The following is a 25,580-nucleotide window of genomic DNA, read 5'->3' as shown; positions in this document are numbered from 1 at the left end:
TGGGATTACAGGCGTGGGCCACCATTCCCAGCCTCCTTCATCCTTTTGATGTCAGCTGAGTCTACAGTGATGTCCTCTTTTTATTCCTGATGTTGGTAAACTGTGTCATCTCTCTGCTGAAAATTTCTATCTTGCTAGAGTTCTTCTTTTATTGATCCTTGAAAGGAACTAGCTTTTTGTTTGTTTTTCTATTTTTGTGTGTGTGTGTGTGCGTGTGTTCCATTTCACTGATTTCTGCTTTTATTTTTTATTATTTCCTTTCTTCTATTTGCTTTGGGTTATTTTGCTCTTTTTCCCACCTGATTTCTACAAGTAAGAGCTTAGAGGACTGATTTGGGACTTTTTTCTTTTCTAATGTATGCACTTAGTGCTGTATATTTCTCTCTCAGCACTCCTTTAGGATATCTTGGAATTTTTAATATATTGTATTTTCATTTTTATTCATGCTACCTTATTTTTTGATATCTACTAAGGTTTTCTCTTTGTTGTATGAACTGTTTAGTAGTGTGTTGTTCATTTTCCAAGCGTTTGGACATTTTTCTGTCTTTTTGTGACTGATTTTTACTTTAATTTCATTTTGGTCAGGGATTATACCATATTAGTTAATTCTTTTAAATTTGTTGAGGTTTGTTTTATGGCCCAGGATATGTTTTACCTTTACCTATATTCAGTGTGGATTTGACTAGTGTGTTCTGCTCTTCCTGTGTGGACTGTTTTATAAATGTTAACTGAATTCTGGTGGCTGAAGATGTTTGAGTTCTTCAACACTCTTTTTTTTTTTTGAAGCAGAGTCTTGCTCTGTTGCCCAGGCTGGAGTGCAGTGGCGCGATCTCGGCTCACTGCAAGCTCAGCCTCCCGGGTTCACGCCATTCTCCTGCCTCAGCCTCCAGAGTAGCTGGGACTACAGGCACCCGCCACCACGCCCGGCTAATTTTTTTGTATTTTTTAGTAGAGATGGGGTTTCACCGTGTTAGCCAGGGTGGTCTTGATCTCCTGACCTCATGATTCGCCCGCCTCGGCCTCCCAAAGTGCTGGGATTACAGGTGTGAGCCACCACGCCCGGCCTAGTTCTTCAACATTCTTGCTGATTTTCTGTTTAGTTGTTCTATCAATCATTATGAGAGAAGTTTTGAAGTCTCCAAAGTAATTGTGGATTTGTCTATTTTTTTTTAAAGTTCTGTTTTTTTATCTTTACATATGTTGCAGCTCTCCTGTTTGGTGGATACATATTTAGGATTGTTATGTCTTCTATTTCTTTCCCTGCCTCCCTCTCTTCTTTCTTTTTCTTCTTTATTTAACCAAGAAAGAACAAATTTACTATTACTTTCCCTACCAAAGCAGTCTCTCATCACCTCCTGACTCTGAGAATTAAATTCTGTTTCCTTCAGATGTCCTTAGTTGATTGACTCCCAAACAGGGAGTGTGAACAGGAAAATAGAATAAAACACCTGTTAGATTTGAATACAAATTGAGAAATTTGTATCTTTGTTTCTGCCTGGAAACATTTAAAATGGAATGGGAACCACATGAGAAGCACATATTGTCCACATCTTGGGATCATTTCAGACCATCTTGCCTCTTCAACCAAACAATCAGCAACAATGGAATATATATATATATATACTCCATATATATATATATATACTCCATATATATATATATACTCCATATATATATACATATATACTCCATATATATATATACTCCATATATATATACATATATACTCCATATATATATATACTCCATATATATATATATACTCCATATATATATATATACTCCATATATATATATATACTCCATATATATATATATACTCCATATATATATATATACTCCATATATATATATACTCCATATATATATATACTCCATATATATATATATATATATACTCCATATATATATATATATATATATATATATATACACTCCATATATATATATGGAGAGAGACACAGAGAGAGATCTCAAAGATTATTTCTCTAAACTATTTGATGATTTTCAGACATTATATCTTTTTAATCCCTAAATTCATCAATGTGTATTTCTTAAAACAAGATCAGTTCCTTAACACAGCACAATTATCAAATTCAGTAAACTTAACATTGATAAAATAGCATTATCTAATATACAATCTATAAAAATTTAACTAATTGTATCAATACAATCTTTTATAGAAATTTCTCTCCCAAGCTAGGATCCATTTCACAGACACATATGAATCTAATTGTCTTGACTCTTTAGTCTCCTTTAATTTAGAACAGTTGCTCAATTGTGTCTTTCACAACTTTGATAATGTTTTTGAAGAGTATATGCCAGTGGTTTGTGGAATATTTCTTAATTTGTCCTACTCATGGTAAGATTAAGTTTATGGAAATTGGAAGAAATGTCACAAAAAATCATATTATCCTCTATCACACCAAGAAGCATGTGATGCCAATTTTCCCCATTATTAGTGAAGTTAGCTTTCATCATTTGGTTAAGTTTGTAACTACTATTTCTTCCCTGCAAAAGTATCATCTTCCTCATTGTAATCAATAAGTAAGCTCTAGAGAAATACTCTGAGACTATATAAATATCCTGATCCTCATCAAAATTTTACCTATACTTTTAGCATTGACTTATAATTTTGCCTGCACCTATCAGCATTCTGATGGTGTCCAGATTTTCTAATTTTCTAATGGGGATTTGCAAATTTTATCCTTCTTTCCACATTTATTAGCTGGCATACCACTGTAAAGAAAATCTTCCCATCTTCCATATTTATTTATTTATTTGAGACAGAGTCTCGCTTTGTCGCCCAGGCTGTAGTGCAGTGGCATGAGTCCTGGAGTCAGTGTAGTTGACACTAGTAGCTACTTTCTATTAGTATCTCTGGTGCCTTTTAGTAGGGAATGGTATTTGTGAATCAAAATATTGTTATCTTTGCTTATTGTTTCTGAGGTATTTCTTCCAGGCCCAGTTAGCAGACAGATCTGCAGGGAAATTTTACTTTTTTTTTTTTTTGAGACAAAGTCTAAGTCACCCAGGCCAGAGTGCGGTGGCAGGATCTTGGCTCACTGCAACGTCTGCCTCCTGAGTTCAAGCGATTCTCCTGCCTCAGACTTCCGAGTAGCTGGGACTACAGGCACGCACAACCACATCCGGCTAATTTTTGTATTTTTAGTAGAGACGGGGGTTTCACCATGTTGGCCAGGCTGTTCTCGAACTCCTGACCTCAAGTGAGCTGCCCGTCTTGGCCTGCCAAAGTGTTGAGATTACAAACGTGAGCCACTGCGCCCAGCCTATAAAATTACATATGTATAATTTCATACTGACGCCTCCAATTCTCATCAACACCAACAGGACTATTCTTTACCTTCTTTCTCTTACAGTGACAGCCTGGTTCCAACACACCCGGTCACACACACTCATTTTCCCAATCCTAAAATTCACACAAAATCTCAGAATTCTTACAGCCCTAGCTCTACAAAAATAACCCTGATACAGAGTTCAAGATTTGTTTGCAATTCTTTTTAATCTTACAATTAGAACAACAAACTGTATAAACCATTTTCATAGATCAGTTCTTTCCTTTTCAAGTAGGAGTATGTTATTGTTTCACAATGCAATTTTACACTTGATCTTAGCCAAAAGGCCGAGAAGCGATAGACAACGCCATTTGAATTTGCCTCTATTCGTATTGAATTTTAAGGTATTTTCACACGCACTTGAGTCAGTTTTATTTTTTGACTATGTGAAACACCAACATGCTTCCAAGAGTCAAAAGAATACAGAAAGTTATAATCAGAAAATTTGCAAGAGAATGTTGTATACCGGGACACACTCAAATGATAGAATGCAAGTATGCTCCAGGAAGTCTAACGTGATGGAGAGTCCACCTTGGGGTGAGTTGATCTTGGGTTGACCACAAATCAGGAACAGTGCCTTTATTTTTACCACTAAGCTACTTTCCTTTCTTTTCTCTTTCTTTCTTTCTCTTTATTTCTCTCTTTCTTTCTTTGTTTCTGTCTCTCTCTCTCTCTCTCTCTCTCTCTCTTTCTTCTTTCTTTCTTTTTTTGAGACGGAGTCTCGCTCTGTCGCTCAAGCTGGAGTGCAGTGGCCCGATCTCGGCTCACTGCAACCTCTGCCTCCCGGGTTCAAGCAATTCTCTACTTCAGAGTAGCTGGGATTACAGGCGCCTGTCACCACGCCCGGCTAATTTTTCTATTTTTAGTAGAGACAGGGTTTCACTATCTTGCCCAGGCTGGTCTTGAACTCCTGACCTCGTGATCCACCCGCCTCAGCCTCCCAAAGTGCTGGGATTACAGGCATAAGCCACTGCACCCGGCTAAGCTACTCTTCTTTTGGCCCAGCCGTGCCTAAAAGAGGAAGCGCTTCATGTAGGGAATTAACAATGGAATTGGAAACATATAGTGATTATCCTGACACAGAGGGCAGGCTCACATATTGGCCGTCACCAAAGCGTTTTCCGAAGGCCCTGAGTCCAGAGGGGGTATAGCTCAGTGGTAGAGCGCGTGCTTAGCATGCACGAGGTCCTGGGTTCGATCCCCAGTACCTCCAGGCCGTGTTTTCTTCCCCGGGACACCAGTAAGAAGCGGTCCATGATATTCCCCAACTTTAAATTTTTCTGTCTGTCAAGGTGAATTGTGTTGGCCTCTGCATTTCTCTCTCATACAGAGGGTGATGCGTGTTCATTCACTTGAGGTTATTTGCTGCCTAGGATTATCCGCCTATTCTTTCTAAGCAGTCCCATCAATCATTAACATGGACCACGCACGGGGGAAGCAAGTAGTATTCCTGGCCATCCAGCCAATTTCTAGCTGTAAATGAAATCATCAGAAACCATAGACCTGTGTGGCCCAAGTCTGATTTCAGATCAGAAGCTAAAAGGCTCAAGTCTTTTTCTGTTTCTTTTTCTAACTCCTCCTAACCAGGTTGCAGAAGCCCTACAAGCTTTCACTAAAAGATTACACTGCCAGGGGTTGATGGTTTGATGTGTGGTGGTAACCTTTTCCATTGGAGACCCACAAACTCTGAAACTTAAACTACTTAACTACAAACACACAACAAATGACGAAAAGACAGCATTCACCTCAGCTGAAATTTGGTGGAAGTAAAAAGCACTTCTCTGGGTCCTCTGAGGAAGCTTCTGGTCTGAGATGCAAACACTCTGAACTCCAGGGACCAAGATCAGTATAGGAGAAAGCTCATTTTGCTGTTTTACATAAATAAAAGTAATGAACGTTTATTTTTCCAATCCCAAAGGATCCTTTTGTACCTCACAGTACTTACTCTCCAGGATTGACCTCCTTCTAAGCTAGGGAACAACCCATACCTCCAGATTAGAGCTCTTTGTGGTATCACAGTGCCAAGCAGAAATCCACAGAGAAATACTCTGCAAGCATCTTAATACTATCTTGTTAAAAGAAAATCTGCTTTTATTTTCAGCTCTATTTCATGCCAACAAAGGAAATAAAAAATAAGTTACTAAACATCCAGAAGGCAGAAAAGCGACCTCTCTCCATCTGCAGAAGCCAAGCAAACTTGTGGGCTTCCCTATGCATCCTTTCTTTTACTCACTTTCTAAACGCTGTAACGGCCACTATCTATCAGGTGGTCACAAGCCATCGCTAAAGTCAATCTGAGGTCAACCCACTCGACTTGTGAGGGATTCAGCTATACTGCCTCTGCGCCTCTAATAGGACTAAGGAGGCGGTGGTTGCACAAGTAGTTAACACCGATTGTACCGTGACTCCGCCTTTCCGCAGCCGCTCTCCAGCTCTTTAGAGTCCTTTTGAGTCAAGCTGGACGTGAGACATACAGGAGATCGTTGCAAACGCCAGGAGGAGTTTCTTCAGGGTGAAGTTAACTTTCAATCGGCTTCATTCTAAGAGAAATATGTGGAGCAAACAAACGGAAACTTTCTTTCTCATCTTTTGCATTTCAAGCAAAAACTAATAAAATTAGATGTTTCCACCGTCATGCTCAGTTTCGAAGCTGCCAGCAGATCCCGCTTCTAACTTTTAACACAGGCACGCAGGAAATCGGGAAATCCCTGCAGCTCCCTCAGAAGCTACAGTATCAGCGGTTCCTGAAGGGCAAACCAAAACCCAGTATCACTCTCTCCTCCAAAGAGTTCAGCCGGTCTGCTGAGCGACGGAAATAGCGGAGAGGCGCTCTTGAAGCCGAAACGAACCAGGTCCCCTTCCTGGTCGAGTCTTCCTCCCTAAGGACAAAAAAAGTACCTTTCTTCCCTCATATCCAGAGGAAGCGACGGAGGGATGTGGCGCTTAGACTCACTGTACCATCCCGTCCATCCAAGTCCTAATAATCATGAGGATGCGACAGAGCGAGACTCCGTCTCAACAAAACAAAACAAAACAACCCTAAGGAAGAGAGAGAATGTACTGGAGGATAGGAAGTACTTAGGAAAACCTTTTTTTTTCTTGTATTTAAATTTAAGCCTTCATTTATATAAAATAAAACACATGAAACCTATTCAGCTTACGGCTTATTATATATAACCAAAATTCAGGCCAAGATACTGAATTTTTCAGCAACCAACAGCTGCCTTTTGCCTCATTTCAATTATCCTAACTCTCTGACCTCCACCTCCATAGATTATTTTTCTTATGTTTTAAATAATATAAATGGGATCATATAATATCATCGTAGTCTATTTTGGGCTGCTACAAAATCACTCAAGACTGGTAATTTGTAACGAACAGAACCCTTCCCTTCCCTTCCCTTCCCTTCCCTTCACTTCCTGACAGAGTTTCACTCTTGTTGCCCAGGTTGGAGTGCAGTGGCTCAGTCTTGGCTCACTGCAACCTCTGCCTCCCGGATTCAAGCAATTCTCCTGTCTCAGCTTCCTGGGTAGCTGGGATTACAGGCGAATGCTACCACGCCCAGCTAATTTTTCTGTATTTTTAGTAGAGATGGGGTTTCACCATGTTTGCCAGGCTGGTCTCGAACTCCTGACCTCAGGTGATCCATCCACCTTGGCCTCCCAAAACCCTGGGATTACAGGAGACAGCCACTGCACCAGGCCCAGAAACATTTTCTCACAGTTCTGGAGGCTGGGAAGTTCAAGATCAAGTCACTGGCTCTCATGTCTGGTGATGGCCTTTTTGTTGTGTTCTCACATGGCAGAAAACTGAAGGCAATAGAGAGATGAACTTCCTTTGTCAACTCTTATTATAAGGGTACCTAATATTATTCATGAGGAAGGAACCCTCATGGCTTAATCTTCTTAAAGGCCCTATGTCTTGATAATTATCACATGGTGACACCTAAGCTTTGGAGGGGACACTTTCAAACCACAGCAAATCTGTACTCATTTGAGTATGGATTCTTTCACTTAATTTTTGTTAAAAAAATTAGATTCATTTTCTTTTCTTTTTTCTTCTTTTTTTTTTTTTCAAGGTGGAGACTTGCTCTGTCGCCCAGGCTGGAGTGCAGTGGCGCGATCTTGGCTTACTGCAAGCTCTGCCTACCAGGTTCACGCCATTCTCCTGCCTCAGCCTCCCGAGTAGCTGGGACTACAGGTGCCATCCACCACGCCCAGCTAATTTTTTGTATTTTTAGTAGAGACAGGGTTTCACTGTTTTAGCCAGGATGGTCTCGATCTCCTGACTTCGTGATCTGCCCGCCTCAGCTTTCCAAAGTGCTGGGATTACAGGCGTGAGCCTCCGTGCCCAGCCTTCATTTTCTATATATTGTTGCTAGTAACAGTAGTTATTTTCTGTTGCTCTCGAGTATTCTATTGTCTGAATACTGTACATCATGATTTATTAATTCATTTTACTGTCCAAGTACATTTGCAGCACCCCTCGTTTTTGGTTGAAATGTCTAATGCTGCTGTAAACATTCTGATACATGTCCTTCAAGGGAGATGCTCATGCACTTCTCTTGGGTATAAATGTAACCGTCTAGTTTTGGGGTCATAGCATATATATATATATATATATATATATATATATATATATATATATATATTTAGTTGATATTTTCAGATAGTTTCCCAGTGTAGATATAGCAGTTTACAGTCTCATCAGCCATGTATGCACGTTCCAATTGCTTCACATACTCAGCAACACTTGATATTATCCACTTTTTGGGTTAAATGATTCCAATGAAGAGCAATATTATTTTGTGTTTTTTTTTTCGACAGTGTCTTGCTGTGCTGCCCAGGCTGGAGTGCAGCGGCACAATCTTGGCTCACTGTAGCCTTTGCCTCCCAGGATCAAGAGATTCTCATGCCTCAGCCTCCTGAGTAGTTGGGACTACAGGGGCATGTGGCCGTCTAAATTTTTGTATTTGTAGTAGAGACCGGGTTTCGCCATGTTGGCCAGCTGGTCTTGAACTCCTAACCTCAAGTGATCCACCCGCCTCGACCTCCCAAACTGCTGGGAGTATAGGCGTGAGCCACTGTGTCCAGCATTGTTGTGTTTTTAATTTGCATTTCCTTTATAGCAAAAGATGTCGAGCATATTTTATTTTACTCAATAGCGATTTTTTGTGAAGTTCATATTAATTTGCTCTTTCTTATTGAAGTTTTAGTCTTTTTCTTAGTGCTTTGTAGAAGTTCTTAACATATTCCAGATAAAGATCCTTAGTAAAATATAAGTATTGGAATATCTTCTCCTAGACTGTGGCTCATCATCTTTTCTTAAGGAGGATGGGGCTTGAAAAACTTTGTAAGCAGATGAAAGAGAAGAAATGGAGACAGACAGGTTGAAGACCCCAGAGGAAGTTCCATCTGGACATCTTACCTGTTGGCTGTGGGAGAAAATGCCCCCAGGCAGTTTGCTGGAGAGGAAACCTCAGAATAAACTGATGGGATGAAATGTTCCAAAAGCAGAAACTGTGTTCTGGTCTGTGATTCTCTTACATTTCTCCTAGCAGCTTCAGGGGATATAGTTTAGAGGTAAGAAATAGTGAGATATGAGACAGTGGATTTTCTATCCGGCCAACTTACCATATTTTTGAAGACCTCTCAGAAATATGACTAATGCGTCAAAAAAGATCTTCACGATGTTTCTGTAGCGAGAGAGGTGTGGCTCAGTGGTAGTGTGTCCTTGCCTTGCACAGAGTTCAAAAGCATACATGTTCATCTGTTTTTCACAATTCTCGCCACTCTGTACTTTTCTCCTTTTAAAAACATGCCTTGCGTGGTCACACTAAAATAAACATATTATACTTTCCATTTCCACTCCCTGGGTCTCTGTACCACCCAAGGTGGATGTGTCAGCACAAGACGAGTGAAAGGAAGGGAATAGCGAAAATGAATTTTCTCGCTCAGGATTTCCTTAGTCAGAAGCTATAAACCTGCCACCACATTAACGTGCCCAATAATCCTCTGTTCCTTTTTGCCATATCGTTGAAGAGCAAGACAGAAAAACAAGAGCCCAGAGAAAAGGAAAAGCCTAGAAAATTTTCTTTTGAATTCCCTTGGTATTCTGAGCAGTGACCATGTAGGGGAGCATGTTCTTACTTTGCTCTATTCTTCATTTTTGCCTTTTCTTTCCCTGGCTTTTGCTAACCCATTCATTGTCCTTAAAATTGGGTCCTGTTTTCAGACATAAATTGGGGAAGAATCTATATTTTGGGGGTGAAGGGGTGAGTGAATGACAGGTGATATTGAAGACAACAGAATTGGAAGATATACTGACCCTACAAATGAGTTTTTATATTTTGAAGAAACACCTAAAACAACAAATTCGGGAAGCCGAAATAGCTCAGTTGGGAGAGCGTTAGACTGAAGATCTAAAGGTCCCTGGTTCGATCCCGGGTTTCGGCAGGGTTTTTTTTTTTTCTTTCTTTCTTTCAGTTTTGCCTAATAGAACCCTTATTTTGTTTATTTATTTATTTTTTGACGGAGTTTCACTCTTGTTGCCCAGGCTGAGTGCAATGGAGCGAACTCGGCTCACCGCAACCTCCGCCTCCTGAGTTCAAGCGATTCTCCTGCCTCAGCCTCCCGAGTAGCTGGGATTACAGGCATGCGCCACCACGCCTGGCTAATTTTGTATTTTTAGTAGAGACGGAGTTTCTCCATGTTGGTCAGGCTGGTCTCGAACTCCCGACCTCAGGTGATCGGCCCGCCTCGGCCTCCCAAAGTGCTGGGATTACAGGCGTAAGACACAGCGCTCGGCTGATACAACCCTTATACAACACTTGCATGCCAATCCCAGAAAGGTGTATAGAACTCCAATTTTTTGCTGTTGAAAATCCGATAAAGGTAATACACACACACACACACACACACACACACACGCATATATATATATATGCATCACTCTCTGCTTTGGTTGCATATTCCAGTGAAGTCTTCCATGAAGCGCTGACATTAAATAAATTATTTACAGTCTGAAACCTAGGAAGTGATTTTTTTTTTTTTTGAGATTGAGTTTCGCTCCGATGCCCAGGCTGGAGTGCAGTGGCGCGATGTCGGCTCAGTGCAATCTCCGCCTCCCGGGTTCAAGGATTCTCCTGGCTCAGCCTCCCCAGTAGCTGGGATTACAGGCGCCTTCCATTTCAAGTCGTATACTGTATTCTAAATAATTTGTATCCCCCGTTAGTACCTAGTATCTTCTACTCACAGCAGCTGCAGACGCTCCACAATACTCAGAAAAAGAAAGTTACCTCCTGGAAATTATTACAAGAAGGATTTTTTTCAGGAAGGGGGTGTAGCTCAGTGGTAGAGCGCATGCTTTGCATGTATGAGGTCCCGGGTTCGATCCCCGGCACCTCCAAACGGTGACTTTTTGCTCTGGTAGTGCTCAAACCTAATTCTCAAGCAACATAGACTTACTTCTGCCTCCGCACCTTTTTCTGTCCTATTTCTGCACATATAGAGAGTAAAGACGTAACCCAATGGGTTGCCTCCATTTATAACCCATTTCTATGCCGTGAGCTTCGACATCACTGAAGGCGATTGTGACGGCAGAAGGAAGGTGAAAAAGAAATGAGGAAGAAAGAAGAATGGGATCCCAACAGGGTCTCTTGAACCCAAACAAAAGTGTGCACATCCACGGGAGGTTCACATTTGCTCTCATTTTGTGCTATGATTAAAGAGAAGGAAAGACAAAGAAGAAGGGAGAAAAGCGCCCCGCGGCCATTCTTTTTTTTTTTTTTTTTTTTTTTTTGGAGACAGAGTCTCGCTCTGTAGCCCAGGCTGGAGTGCAGTGGCTTAATCTTGGCTCATTACAACCGCTGCCTCCCGGGTTCAAGCGATTCTTCTGCCTCGGCAGGTGGGTTTACAGGTGCGTGCCATCAGGCCCGGGTAATTTTTGTATTTTTAGTAGAGACGGGGTTTCACCATGTTGGCCACACTGGTCTCGAACCCCAGACCTCAGGTGATCCACCCGCCACAGTTTCCCAAAGTGCTGGGATTACAGGCGTGAGCCACCGCTCCCAGCATCATCTTTTTTGTTTGTTTGTTTTTTGTTTTTTTTTACTTTAGTTTTGTTTTCTGGGCCAAAGAACAGAGCGAAAGCATCTGTCCACTGATTTCTCCTCCAGTCTCTCCCTGTCAACCTGCGCAGAAAGCACAGCCACAAGTGTAATCCAATACTGAGACAAGGACTGCTGTGGCTCTCCAGCCGCTTGAGATGGGAGTGGAAGGACGCTGGATGACCGAACAAAGACTGTCAGGGAATAAGAGACCTTCAACATGAGAGGAGCAGAAACCAATACGGATCAACATTCCCTACTGATACAATTGATTCATTTTCCTGTATTTCCTCAGCCATTCCATTTTCCTTGTTAAAATAAAACATTGCCTGGAAACCTCTGTTAACAGCCAACGGAGGACTCATGTGAAAAAGTAGGAAAAGTTTTTCTGTCACAATGGAAAATAGACGCAAAGTAAAAGGTGAGTGGATCGCAGGTGTGTTGAGCACTTCCTCAGGTAAAAACAAAAGAAAACAAATTTTTTTTGTTCTTTCTCTGTCAATCCCATCACAATTGCATTGCATGACCAGGGAACTCCCAGGAAATCCTATTCACTGATGATACCTTTTAGGGGTTTCCAATGTTGTATGTTTCAAAATTGCTGTCCTCTGTACATGTTTGCTGTTGAATCAAAGCATCTTTGAGAGGCAACAGAGTATGATGTTTGTCACCATCCACCAGTCTAACACTCTATCAGGCTGGGATGTCCTCACTTCTTGATTCTTTTATCCGGTGAAAATATCCATAACCAGTATCCAGGAGGGATACTGTCTGGTGAAACCTGCTTAGCTGAGGATTGGCTGTGTGCCCCCAGGCCAATCATATGTTTGTTTCAAGATGCATTTTTTGGAGACAGGTAACGAAGAGATGCCATATATTTTCTTTTCATTTCTTAATATTTCCCCCCTACTATCTACTGGTTCTCTCCAGGCACTTTAAGGAAATAGTGTCATGTTTGCCACAAAGGATGCTGCACAGGAGAGCAAGGCATGAGGGATTAGGGTGCTACTAGTGGAATGTCAAATTCCAGGCCCAACCTCAGATCTACAGAATCAGAATTGATGAGAGTGGGACCCAGCCACCTGTGTTGAATAAGCCCTCAAGTGACTCTGATGCTAAAGTTTGAGAAGCACTGCTCTAGAAGTTTCAGAAGGAGTTCAGGGCCAGATGCTTGCTAAGGAGAAAGAGTTGCTCCCGGGGTTCCCTGCCTATTTTCAATAAAAAACTCAAACCACGTAGGAAAGCCAGTGACGTATTTGCATTACATCAGGATGAGAGTGGATTTATTACCTCTTTGAGACCTTCAATATTTTAGATGACTAGAGATCACACACAAGAGCCTCTGATTTTCCTGTAGAAGAACTCACAGGGGTTCTTTAGAGCCAGGAGACTCTTTCCAGCCAAAATACCTGGAGCCATCTCAAGCTATTTTGGCCTTTCAATTTGAAACCTAAGGCCTTTCCTTAGAGCTTGGAAGTTTCTAAGCTCTGAGGAAGACACTGTAATCATTCTTGCTCCACCCTCAGGGTTGGAATTCACCCTGCTCTCTGTCAAGCCCCCACCAATTCTGCCAATATTCTGGTCTAAGATCCAGTTGTTAAAAACCCAGTCTATGTGGCTGGGGGCGGTGGCTCATGCTTGTAATCCCAGCACTTTGGGAGGCCAAGTCGGGTGAATCACGAGGTCAAGAGATCGAGACATTCCTGGCCAACATGGTGAAACCCGTCTCTACCAAAAATACAAAAATTAGCTGGGCATGGTGGCCGGGGAGGCTGAGGCAGGAGAATAAAAAATTAGCTGGGCATGATGGCCATGCCTGTAGTCCCAGCTACGGGGAGGCTGAGGCAGGAGAATCCCTTGAACCTGGGAAGCGGAGATTGCAGTGAGCCGAGATGGCACCACTGCACTCAAGCTTGGTGACACAACGAGACTCCATCAAAAACAAAAAACAAAAACAAACAAAAAAAGCAATCTAATGCATAAAATGTAATTAAAATATCTTCGCAGCATTAAGTAGAGAGTTCCTTGTGGTTAGGAGACTCTTCCTCCTTGGAAGATGTTCTCTGTCTGTCTACCTTCTGCGTTTTCACATTTGTCTCTTCCTCTCCACACCTAAGCCAGTGCTTTATTTCCACTTATCTCGTGTAGGGATATACTTTTGTGTGGTGACCTTGGTTTTGCCCACTCTTCTTGCTTCCAAGAGTTGGATGTAGGCAATGTAGGAGCCCACTGCCAAAGTGTGGGTGATATTCTCCAGAAAGAAACCTAAATTTCAGAGGCTTGCTGATATGGAAGAAAGCCTAGGATATTCGACTCATAGAGCTTCGCACTGCTAGGCAGGTTGAAATCTGGACACCCTGAATTCCTTAGGAACAAGGTATAAGTACTTCTGAAAACCAATTTAAGTTTAAAATATACTGAGACTCCCTGATCTTTCTTGTATTTCATGACATATTCCAAGCTCAAGAAGCTAAACACACACACACACACTCAAATACCAAAACAGAACACACTCTCCTACCTATAACAAAGGGGCTTAAGCAGGAGGGTCTAGAGAGACCTGGTTCAACACTCTCCCCCTGACGAACAGTAGGGATTGGAAATAGGCGGCTTCTCTGTCCTTTCCTCGGAAGCCACCAATACCACCCGCCTGTACCAAAACTCAAGGGTACCCCTGCTCCCCAGTACCCCAGCCAGTAAAGGAGCTGCGAGGCGTTCTCAACGCCGCGACTACCTTGAGTAAAACGAGGGAGATCTTGCGGGGAAAGTGTTTTCAGCTCACTTCTCCTACAGGGAATGAGCCCTCTCACCTATCGTGGACACCGAGGAAACGCAGCAGAGATGGGCACCCAGGCTGCCCAGATCCTCTGGCAGCCTCGGGTGCTCGTCCACTTCGCTCCTCCTCCGCCTTTGCTGCCGCAGCCGCAGGTGCGCACCCCACCGCGTCCCTGCTTCCCTCCTCGAGCTCTTGTGGTCGAGCTCAGGTGGTCCTTGTTCTCCTCTCCATCCATCGTTACTTGAGTCTCAAAACTGGAGCCACAACGTCCCCAAGATGAAATCCATGCTGGGTTTCAGCCACGGTGCCGGCCCAGGGGCTGGCGAGGGTAAGGACAGGCAGCGACCCACTTCCTGGGTCTTCATTTCTAAGAGCTGGGAATTCCACCTTCTCACCTCCTCACCTGGACCTAAATCCCCCAGGCGGTACTGACCATTCTGTTTTTTTATCCACCTACGCTACTCTTCGTGTGACAGCCCTTGAAGGCAGAAGGAAAAGAAGATGTAAGAAGGGAGAATTTAAAAAACACTTTAAAAATTAATTAATCTGAATACTCAAAGTATCCCCAGGTCATGTATCCTTTTAAGATATGCCTACATTGGCATAGGCGGTGGCTCATGCCTGCAATCCCAGCACTTTGAGAGGCCGGGGCAGGCGGATCACCTGAGGCCAGGAGTTGGAAACCAGCCTGGCCAACATGGTGAAACCCCATCTCTACTAAAAATACAAAAATTAGCCGGGCGTGCTGGCACGTGCCTGTAATCCTAGCTACCTGGGAGGCTGAGGCAGGAGAATCGCTTGAACCTGGAAGGTGGAGGTTGCAGTGAGCCCAGATTGCACTACTGCATTCCAGCCTGGGCAACACAGCAAGACTCCTTCTGGGGGAGGGGGTGGAGGGCGGGGGCGACGAATTATACAGTGAAACTTTCTTGAACCTGAAGAGTCTGTTTTTTTTTTAAAGTTTTTATATCACAAATTTAATTTCCTTAGTAGTTACAAGGTTATAGAAAAATATATTTCATATTGAGTGAGTTGTGATAGTTTGTGATTTTCAAGGAATTAGTCCATCTCATCTAAGTTTTCAAATTTGTGTGTAAAGTGTTGTTCATAGTATTCATTTACCCTTTTGATGTCAGCAGAGTCTATAGTGATATACTCTTCTTTTTATTCTTGATATTGGCAATTTGTGTCATCTCTCTTCTTAAAAAATTATCAGTCCTCCTAGAGGTCTTCTTTTATTGATCTTTTAAAGGAACTAGCTTTTTGTTTGTTTTTCTATTTTGTGCGTGTGTGTTCAGTTCCGTTTATTTCTGCTCATTTCCTTTCTTCTATTTGCTTTGGGTTATTTTCCCCCACCTGAGTTCTTCAAGTAAGAGCTTAAAGGACTGATTTGAGACTTTTTTCTTTTCTTTCTTTTTTTTTTTTTTTTTTTTTTTTTTTTTTTTTTTTTTTTGGCCGGGCTGGTCTCCAACTCCTGACCTTGTAATCCACGCGCCTCGGCCTCCCAAAGTGCTGGGATTACAGGCGTGAGCCACGCGCCTGGCCGACTTTTTTCTTTTCTAATGTATGCACTTAGTGCTGTAAATTTCTCTCTCAGAGATTAAGTTGTCTTGGAAATTTTGATACATTGTGTTTTCATTTTTATTCAGGTTAATTTATTTTTTTGATCTCTACTAAGGCTTTCTCTTTGTCCTATGGAATATTTAGTAGTGTGTTGTTCATTTTCCAAGTGTTTGGATATTTTTGTTGTCTTTCTGTGACTGATTTTTAGTTTGATTTCATTGTGGTTAGGGATCATACTATGTCAGTCAATTCTTTTAAATTTGTTGAGGCCCAAGGTATGAGGTATGTTCTATCTTGATCTACGTTACGTATGAATTTGAAATGAATGCGTGTTCTGCTTTTCTTGTGTGGACTGTTCTATACATGGTGACTGAATTCTGTTGCCTGAAGATGATTTGGGGTTCTTCAATATCCTTGCAGATTTTCTGTGTAGTTTTTCTGTTATTATGAGAGAAATGGCGCGGGCGTGGTGGCTCACGTCTGTAATCCCAGCATTTTGGGAGGCCGAGGCGGGTGGATCACCAGGTCAGGAGATGGACACCACCCTGCCTAACATGGTGAAACGCCGTCTCTACTAAAAATACAAAAAATTAGCCGGGCGTGGTGGCGGGCGCCTGTAGTCCCAGCTACGCAGAGGCTGAGGCAGGAGAATGGCGTGAACCCGGGAGGCGGAGCTTGCAGTGAGCCAAGATTGCGCTACTGCACTCCAGACTGGGCGACAGAGCGTGTGAGGAGACGATTGAAAAACCCAAAAAGAAGAAAAAGCAAAAGCCCCAGGAGATTCATCAGGAGAATGGAATGGAAGACCCATCTATCTCTTTCTCCAAACCCAAGAAAAAGAAATCTTTTTCCAAGGAGGAGTTGATGAGTAGCGATCTTGAAGAGACCGCTGGCAGCACCAGTCTTCCCAAGAGGAAGAAGTCTTCACCCAAGGAGGAAACAGTTAATGACACCGAAGAGTCAGGCCACAGAAGTGGCTCCAAGAAAACGAGGAAATTCTCCAAAGAGGAGCTGGTCAGCAGTGGGCCTGAAGAGGCGGCTGGCAAGAGCAGCTCCAAGAAGAAGAAAAAGTTCCATAAAGCATCCCAGGAAGATTAGAATGCAAATGGACATTCTCTGGGAGGTGGGGCATACCATAGCCCAAGGCGACATTTCCCACCCTGTGCCGTCTTCCCCAATAAGAACAAATTCACAAAAAAGAGAGAGAGAGAAGTGAAGTCTCTAATGTAACTGCATTTGTCGATTTTTTTAATTCTATCTTTTTTGTTTTTTAAAATATTTATTTATGTATTACATTTATTTATTTATTTATTTATGAGTCAGAGTCTCGCTCTGTCACCCAGGCTGGAGTGTAGTGGCACCATCTCGGCTCACTGCAACCTCCACCTCCCGGGTTCAAGCAATTCTCGAGCCTCAGCCTCCCTAGTAGCTGGGACTGCAGGTGCACGCCACTGCACCACCATGCCCGGCTAATGTATGTATTTTTAGTAGAGACGGGTTTCACCATGTTGGCCAGGCTACTTTCCAACTCCTGGCCTCAGGTGATCCGCCCACCTCGGCCTCCCAAAGTGCTGGGATTACAGGCGTGAGCCACTGCGCCCTGTCTGGGTGTTTTGTTTTGTTTTGTTTTGAGACAGAGCCTTACTTTGTTGCCCAGGCTGGAGTGCAGTGGCACGATCTTGGCTCACTGCAACCTCCGCCTCCCAGGTTCAAGCAATTCTCCTGCTTCAGCCTCCCGAGTAGCTGGGACTACAGGGCGCACGACCACGCCCAGCTTTTTTTTTTTTTTTTTTTTTTTTTTTTAGTAGAGATGGGGTTTCACCATGTTGGTCAGGATGGTCTCAATCTCCTGACTTTGTGATCCGCCCGCCTCGGCCTTCCAAAGTGCTGGGATTACAGTCGTGAGCCAGCGCGCCCGGTCCTGTTTTTTTTTTTTTTTTTTTTTTTTACATGTTGCAGCTCTGCTGTTTGGTGTATACATATTTAGGATTGTTATGCCTTCTTGGTGGATTTTCTTTGTTCTTAAGTTTATATTAATATAGTCACTTTTGCTTTCTTTTGATTAACTTTTGCATGTAATATATTTTATCCCCTTAATTTCAGCCTGCTTATATAATTATATTTGAAATGAGTTTCTTTTAGATAGTGTATAGTTGGATTATGTTTTCTAATCTGTTCTGTCAATCTCTCCCTCCCTCCATTCCTTTCTTCCTTTTGCCCTCTCTCCTTCCTTTCTTTCTCTCTCGCTCCTTCCTTCTTTCTTCCTTCCTTTCTTTTCTTTCTTCCTTTATTTTCTTTCTATTTTTAATAGACGGGATCTTGTTTTGATGACCAGACTAGAGTGCAGTGGCTATTCACCAGGGCAATCGTAGAGCACTGGGGCTTCCAACTCCTGACCTCAAGCTGTTTTCCTGCCTCCTCTTCAGCCTCCTGAGTAGGTGTAGCTGGGACTATAGATGCAGGCCACCACGCCTGGCTCATGGTTTGTTTTTGTTTTTTTGTTTTTTTTCTCATCCTTCTTTTAAAGTCGCTAAATAAAAATCATACCTGGATGTCTGGAAATGTCAGTTAACATCAAACATGTTGCTGCCATGAAGTGCCAGACAATTCTTTTTTAGTACCTAAAAAAGTGTCCCTCCTCTGAGAAGAGGACAAATAGTTCACAGATGTGTAAGACATTTTAACTGTAGTGAAACAGCAGCCATTTCCTCTGCTGTTTCCTGTCCGTCTAATCACTTCTGCTTTTACTTTCTTTCTTTTTTCTTTTTTTTTTTTTAAGACGTAGTCTCGCTCTCTCTCCCAGGCTGGAGTGCAGTGGCGCGATCTCAGCTCACTGCAAGCTCCGCCTCTCGGGTTCACGCCATTCTCTGCCTCAGCCTCCTCGAGCAGCTGGGACCACAGGCGCCCGCCACCACGCCAGGCTAATTTTTTGCATTTCTAGCAGAGACGGGGTTTCACTGTGTTAGCCAGGATGGTCTCGATCTCCTGACCTCGTGATCCGCCCGCCTCGGCCTCCCAAAGTGCTGGGACTACAGGCGTGAGCCACCGCGCCCGGCTATGCTTTTATTTTCAAGGCACTAATCAAAATTTCTGGCCTACTGATGGCCCTATTTAAAGGGTTTCCTGGGCTATGATAGTTTCAAACTCTATATTTCCTGAAGACTAATAAAGAGGGAAGGGAGTTCTGTTTGTCAACTTTACTGTTTCTTTTCCTCCTTCCCTTCCTTCCATTCTTTCTTTCTTTTTCTCCTGTCACTCTCTTTTTTTTTTGCTGCTTTTCTCCAAAAAAGAACTTCACTATTTCTTTCCCTACCAGAGCAGCCCCTCATTACCTCCTGACTCTGAGAAAGAAACTCTGTCTCTTTCAGATGTCCTTAGTTGATTGACTCACAAGCAAGGAGTGTGACAAGGAAAATAGAATAAAACACCTTCTAAATTCTAATACAAATTGAGAAATTTGTACCTTTGTCTCTGCCTTGCAACATTTAAAATAAAGTGGGACCATCTGAGAAGCATATATTGTTCAAATCTTGGGATAATTTCAAAACATCTTTTCCTCAATGACAAATCAACAATACTGGAATACATATCATATATATGTAGTATGTATTATATATATATATCAGACAAAGATTATTTCTCTAAACTATTTGATAATGATTTTCAGACATCATATCTTTTTATTCTTAAATACTTCAATGTGTATTTCTTAAGAAAAAGGTCAATTCCTTAACACAACACAATTATCAAGTTCAGTAAATTTGACATTGATAAATGTGAATATAGTCTAATATAAAGTCTATTAAAAATTGTCTAATTGTACCAATAAAAACTTTTATAGAAATTTCTCTTCCAAGCTAGGATCCATTTCAGAATCACATATGAATCTAGTTGTCTTGACTCTTTAGTGCCCTTTAATTTGGAACAGTTTCTTAATCTTCTTGTCTTTCACAACACCGACATGTTTTTGAAGAGTTTTTCCAGTGGTTTTGTGCAACGTTTCTTAATCTGTATTAGCCATGATAAGATTACATCGGGTTATGGAATTTGGGAGAAATGTCACAGAAATCACGTTATTACCCTCTCTCACACCAAGAGGCATGAGCTGACTGAAGTTAGCTTGATCACTTGATTTTAAGTTTGTAATTACTGTTTCTTCCCTGAAAAATTATCATTTTCCTCATTGTAATTAATAAATAATCTACAGGGAAATACTCTGAGACTACGTAAATATCCTGATCCTCATCAAATTTTTACCTATACTTTAACATTAACTTACAAATTTTGCCTGCATCTATCATCATTCTGATGGTATTGTTTAAATGGGGATTTTTAAATTTTATCCTCACTTTGTTTCTTTGTTCATTTTTTTGAGACGGAGTCTCGCTCTGTCGCCCAGGCTGGAGTGCAGTGGCGCAATCTTGGCTCACTGCAAGCTCCGCCTCCCGGGTTCACGCCATTCTCCTGCCTCAGCCTCCCGAGTAGCTGGGACTACAGGCACCCGCCACCACGCCCGGCCAAGGTTTTGTATTTTTAGTGGAGAGGGGGCTTCACCGTGTTAGCCAGGATAGTGTCGATCTCCTGACCTCGTGATCCACCCGCCTCAGCCTCCCAAAGTGCTGGGATTAAAGGCGTGAGCCACTGCGCCCGGCACTCACTTTCACATTTATCATTTGGCAAACCACTGTAAGGAAAATCGTCCCGTCCTCCATATTTATTTGTTTAAGTTCCCAAGAATGATAATCAGTTATTGTCATCACTGATGCTAAAAGTGTGTCAGATTTGGCCAGTGAGATTCCCTTCAAGCTGGCTTCTGTGTCCTTTTAAATCACCCCCGTCATTTCTGAGCACTTACATTCTGGCAAGGCAAGATATCTTAGGTTCATTTTGCAGTTTCCCTGGCACAGTCCTGGAGTCTGTGTAGTTGACACTAATAGCTACTTTCTATTAGTATCTCTGGTTCCTTTTAGTAGGGAATGGTATTTGAAAATCAAGATACAGAGTTATCTTTGCTCATTGCTTCTGAGGTATCATTTCTTCTAGGCCCAGTTAGCAGATAGATCTGTGGGGAAATTTTACAATTTCATATGTACAATTTCATACTGATGCCTCTAATTCCCATCAGTATCAACAGGACTATTCTTTACCTTCCTTCTTCTCCCACAGTGAGAGTCTGTTTCCAACAACAGACACTCGATTTCCCAATCCTAAAATTCACACAAAATATCAGAATTGCTACAGCCCTCACTCTACAAAAAATAATCCTGATACATAGAGTTTAAGATTTGTTCGATGTTCTTTTTGATCTCACAATTAGAACAACAATCTGTGTAAACCATTTTCTTATATCAGTTCTTTCCTCTTCAATGTGGTTATGTTATTCTTTTGAAATGCAGTTAATTTGCCTCTATTTGTACTGAATTTTAGGGTATTTTCACACATACCTGAGTTTTATTTTTTGACTATGGGAAACACTAAGATGCTTCCCAGAGTCAAAAGAAAAAAGTTATAATCAGAAAATTTGCAAGAGAATGTTGTATGCCGGAGGTCACTCAAGGGATAGAATGGAATTATGCTCCAGAAAGTCTAATATGATGGGGAGACCACTTTGGGGTGAGTTGATCTTGGACTGACCACAAATCAGGAACATCAGGAACAATGCCTTTGTTTTTACCACAAGATATCTTTCTCCTGGTGTAGCCATGCCCGAGAGAGAGAGAGAGAGAGAGAGAGAGAGAGAGAGAGAGAGAGAGAGAGAGAGAGAGGGCGCTTAGTGTCGGGAATTCATAAACAGTGGAATTGGAAACATACAGTGATTGTCTTGATGACACAGAGCACAGACTCAGGCAACGGAGATCACCAAAACATTTTCCCAAGCTCCTGATCTCCTGCGGGGGTATAGCTCAGGGACAGAGCACGTGGTTAGCATGCGTGAGGTCCTGCGTTCAACTTCCAGTATTTCCACTCTTTTTTTTCCTATGAGCCACCTTAGGAAGTTCTCCATGATATTCCCCACCTATTCAAGGGAATTGTGTTGGCCTCTGCATTTCTCTCTCATACAGGGAGATAATTCGTGTTCATTCACTTACAGTTCTTTGTTGCTTAGAATTATCCCCCTGTCCTAATTAGTTCCACAAATCACTAATGTGGATCACACACTATAGAAGCAAGTAGTATTCCTTGCCATCCCGCCGATTTCCAGTTTAAATAAAATAGTCAGAAACCATTGAATTCTGTGACCTAAGTCTGATTTCAGATCAGAAGGTTAAGGCTCAAGTTCTTTTGCGTTTCTTACTTTCTTCTAACTGCTTCCTCACCCAGGTTGCAAAAGTCCTGCAAGCTTTCACTAAAAGATTCCACTACAAGTGGCTGATGATTGCTGGTGATGTGCTGGTGGTCACTTTTTCCATTAGAGACCGACAAATTCTGAAACTTAATCCAAGCTATTTAACTACAAACATAAGGACAAATGACAAATATAATGACAAATGAGGAAAAGATCTCAATCACCTCAGCTGAAATTTAGCAGGGAGAAAATTACTTCTCTTGGTTCTTTAAGGAAGTTTCTGGTCTGAAATGGCAAGCTCTCTGAACTCCAGAGTCCAAGATCCATCTAGGGTAGAAGCTCGTTTCTTCTTTTTTTTTTCTTTTTTCTTTCTTTCTTTTTTTTTTTTTTTTTTTTTTTTTTTTTTTTTTTTTTTTGAGATGAAGTCTCACTCTGTTGCCCAGGCTGGACTGCAGTGGAGCGATCTTGGCTCACTGCAAGCTCCGCCTTCTGGGTTCAAGCAATTCTCCTGCCTCAGCCTCCTGAATAGCTGGAAATACAGGCACTTGCCACCTCGCCTGGCTAATTTTTTGTATTTTTAGTAGAGATGGGGTTTCACCATGTTGGCCAAGCTGGTCTCAATCTCCTGACCTCGTGATCTGCCCACCTTGGCCTCCCAAAGTGCCGGGATTACAGGCGTGAGCCACTGCACCCAGCCAAAACCTCATTTCTTTGTTTTGTTTTGTTTTTTTTAATAAATAAAAATAATGAACTTTTATTCTCCCAATCCCAATGGATCCTTTTCTACCTCACTGTACTTACTTTCAAGGAATAACTTCCTTCTTAGCTACTGAACATCCCATATCTCCAGATTAGAACCCTGCACAATTTCTAATTCTGATATCACAGTGCTAAGCAGAAATTCACAGGGGGATACTTGGCAAGCATCTTAACACTATTTTGTTAAAAGAAAATCTCCTTTTATTTTCCACTCTATTTCATCAAAGGATTAAAAATTAAGTTACTAAACACCTAGAAGGCAGAAAAGCAGCCTCTTTCTCCATGTGCAGAAGCTAAGCAACCCAGTGGGGCTTCTGTATGCATCATCTCTTTTACTCACTTTCTAAAAGCTGTAACCGTCCACCATCTACCAGGCGATCACAAACCACCCCTTAAGTCAATTTTGAGGTTAACCCACTTGACTTGAGAGGGATTCACCTGTACCACCTCTGCAGCTGTTATGTGAGAAAATAAACTCATCCATCTAAACCCAAAGAATGGACTCAGAGACCCGGAGAACAGCGAAAGTGAGACTTTTAATGACGGTCTTGAGAGATCAAGATCGGGTGTCTGGCGTGCAGGCACACCCAGAACAGTTTCAACAAGCAATTTGTCCCCTAGTGCGCAAGTCCCTCCCCAGGTTCCTCATAGGCTGAGTGCTATGGGGTTACAATTTTCTCGGCGTTTGCCTACTGATTGTTAGGCAAAGGCTTTAGGTGTCTCTTTTTTAGGGTTGTCTTGCTGCATTTTGTTGCAGCCCACAATGCATTGCAATCCTGGTTAGCTCAAGGGCTCTTTAAGTGTTTGACTTATGACCTAAGTAGCTGGGCAGGCTGATAAGAACAGACAAAGTGAGCTATTTTGCAGACTAGTAAACTTATATCTTAGACTAAACTGTTTTTGTTTGGGTGAAGGCCACCAAGGATGGGGGATGGGAAGGGGGAGGAAAGAGGGGGGCGACAAGCAGGCATCCGCTATCCAAGCAGGGACCTAGTATACCCTGTTTCTTCTGTACTTTGCTGACCTAAGCCAATTTAAGGCACTTTGTCTTGGAAATAGATCACTGTATACATTATTTCCTTCAGGAATAGCACTAAGGAAAAGGTGGCTGCACACGTAGTTAACACCGATTTTACCGCGACTTTGTAGTACCTAACCTTGTTTTTAGACTCTCCCTTAATCGCCTAGCCTTGTTTCCACATGAATAGGCTCTTCCTTAGCTGAGAAAGCCGGAAGTACTCCTTTTGGCTCCTTCATTTACAAGACGTCAAAGACTCCTTACCCACCCCCTTCCTCAAGCAGTTAACTTGTGTAAGCTGACTCTTACATATCAAAGAGTCCAATTAACTGATAAGGTACTGAAGCAAGCAATTTACGAAGTTACCAGGATTTCGCTCAAGAGATAACACCATAAAGCTTTGAGTTTGTGTCCGGGAGAGCCCCCATACCTAACGCCTTATGATAGATTTAGAGCCCCTGCACCTGGAACTGTTTGTTTCCTTGTAACCATTTGTCTTTTTAATTTTTTTGCATGCTTTTACTTCTGTAGAATTGCTGCAACTAAGCTCCCCCTCCCCTTTCTAAACCAAAGTATAAAGGAAAATCAAGCCCCTTCCTCGGGGCCGAGAGAATTTCGAGCGTTAGTCGTCTGTCGGTCGCCGGCTAATGAAGGACTCTTAAATTCGTCTCGAAGTGTGGCGTTTCTCTAACTCGCTCGGGTACAACATTTGGAAGCCCCAGCGAGATATATTCGCCACTGGGCGAGAGCCGGGCTAGCTCCGGGCTCCCCCGGAGGGACGGCCGGCTTATAGGCGAGGAGCCACCTGAAAAAAAATTTTCCAGGTCCCCGAAAGGCGACCGTCTTCCGGAGGACAGCGGATCGACTACCGTGTGTGTGTGCCCACAAAATTCAACCTCTGAGTCCTCAGCTTCTGACCCCGGGGTCAGGTAAGTTAGATTTGACTTCTGTTTGGTGAGAGGGAGGCAGCCCTGACGAGGGCATCCCTGTCTTTGACACTGCCCGCTTTTCCAGGGCGCTGGAGGACAGAGCCCTGGTTTTTCTGTTAGGCGCCTTTTGGTTCTGGTTTGGTGAGAGGGAGGCAGCCCTGACGACGGTGTCCCTCTCTTTGACTCTATCCATACTCCAGGACGCTGGAGGATAGAGCCCTGGTTTCTGGCAGGCCGGCCTCTCCATTAAGACTAGTCTCTCACTCTCTCCTCCTCTTTTTCTTTCTCTCCCCCTTGCTCTATCTCTTCTCCTCCTCTCGTTCAGGTCTTCTGGGACCTTTGTTTAGAACGGGAAATAACAAAAATTGTTATAAACTCTTTGTGAATGTGTGCACGACTGAGGAGTCCAGGGGCCTGCCTCTGGATCCCCAGTTTGTAGCTCCACGGCGAAAGCTACGGAGTTCGAGTGGGCCCTCACCTGCCGTTCCGTGGCGACCTCATAAGGCTTAAGGCAGCATCGGGCATAGCTCCATCCGAGCCGGGGGTTTATACCTGCCTGCCAATGCTAAGAGAAGCCCAAGTCCCCTCAGGGGGAGCGGCCAGGCAGGCATCTGACTGATCCCATCATGGGACCCCCTCCCCTTGTCTGTCTAATAAAAACCTACCATAATTGTTTATATACCCAAGGGTCTATTGTTTGTTTTGTGTTTGTTGTCCTGCTCGGTGTCTATTGTCCTGTTTAGTGGTTGTCAAAGTTTCGTATGTCAGGTCATCGATACTGCCCAA

The 25,580-nt window shown here is 42.6% G+C and overlaps 3 non-coding genes and 3 pseudogenes across 3 annotated transcripts, besides 2 other annotated features; 5 read left to right on the top strand and 1 right to left on the bottom strand.

Moving 5' to 3' along the window:
- Positions 1-3,499: 3,499 nt before the first annotated feature.
- LOC124901504 (uncharacterized) lies at positions 3,500-3,655 on the bottom strand (annotated as a pseudogene).
- An 842-nt stretch (positions 3,656-4,497) lies between these two features.
- On the top strand, positions 4,498-4,569 carry TRA-AGC1-1 (tRNA-Ala (anticodon AGC) 1-1). Its single transcript has one exon. It is a non-coding gene; the product is annotated as a tRNA-Ala (tRNA).
- Positions 4,570-9,738: 5,169 nt separating this feature from the next.
- On the top strand, positions 9,739-9,811 carry TRF-GAA1-1 (tRNA-Phe (anticodon GAA) 1-1). Its single transcript has one exon. It is a non-coding gene; the product is annotated as a tRNA-Phe (tRNA).
- Positions 10,368-10,567: a silencer, noted in NCBI's record as "fragment chr6:28757743-28757942 (GRCh37/hg19 assembly coordinates)". NCBI's record gives its function as "represses an EF-1alpha promoter that drives an FKBP-Casp9 reporter gene in an ReSE screen in K562 erythroleukemia cells {active_cell/tissue: K562}" and the evidence as "EXISTENCE:reporter gene assay evidence [ECO:0000049][PMID:32094911]".
- TRA-TGC1-1 (tRNA-Ala (anticodon TGC) 1-1) lies at positions 10,692-10,763 on the top strand. The gene has a single exon. It is a non-coding gene; the product is annotated as a tRNA-Ala (tRNA).
- On the top strand, positions 16,522-16,997 carry NOP56P1 (NOP56 ribonucleoprotein pseudogene 1; annotated as a pseudogene).
- Positions 21,695-21,766, top strand: TRA-AGC23-1 (tRNA-Ala (anticodon AGC) 23-1; annotated as a pseudogene).
- Positions 24,012-24,583: an enhancer, noted in NCBI's record as "OCT4-NANOG-H3K27ac hESC enhancer chr6:28743727-28744298 (GRCh37/hg19 assembly coordinates)". NCBI's record gives its function as "activates a minimal SCP1, AML or CMV promoter by ChIP-STARR-seq in naive H9 embryonic stem cells {active_cell/tissue: H9 hESC(naive)}" and the evidence as "EXISTENCE:reporter gene assay evidence [ECO:0000049][PMID:30033119]".

The sequence above is a fragment of the Homo sapiens genome, chromosome 6, assembly GCF_000001405.40.
Source record: "Homo sapiens chromosome 6, GRCh38.p14 Primary Assembly".
Classification (NCBI taxonomy): Eukaryota; Metazoa; Chordata; class Mammalia; order Primates; family Hominidae; genus Homo; species Homo sapiens.
This window is presented reverse-complemented; position numbering and strand designations above follow the sequence as displayed.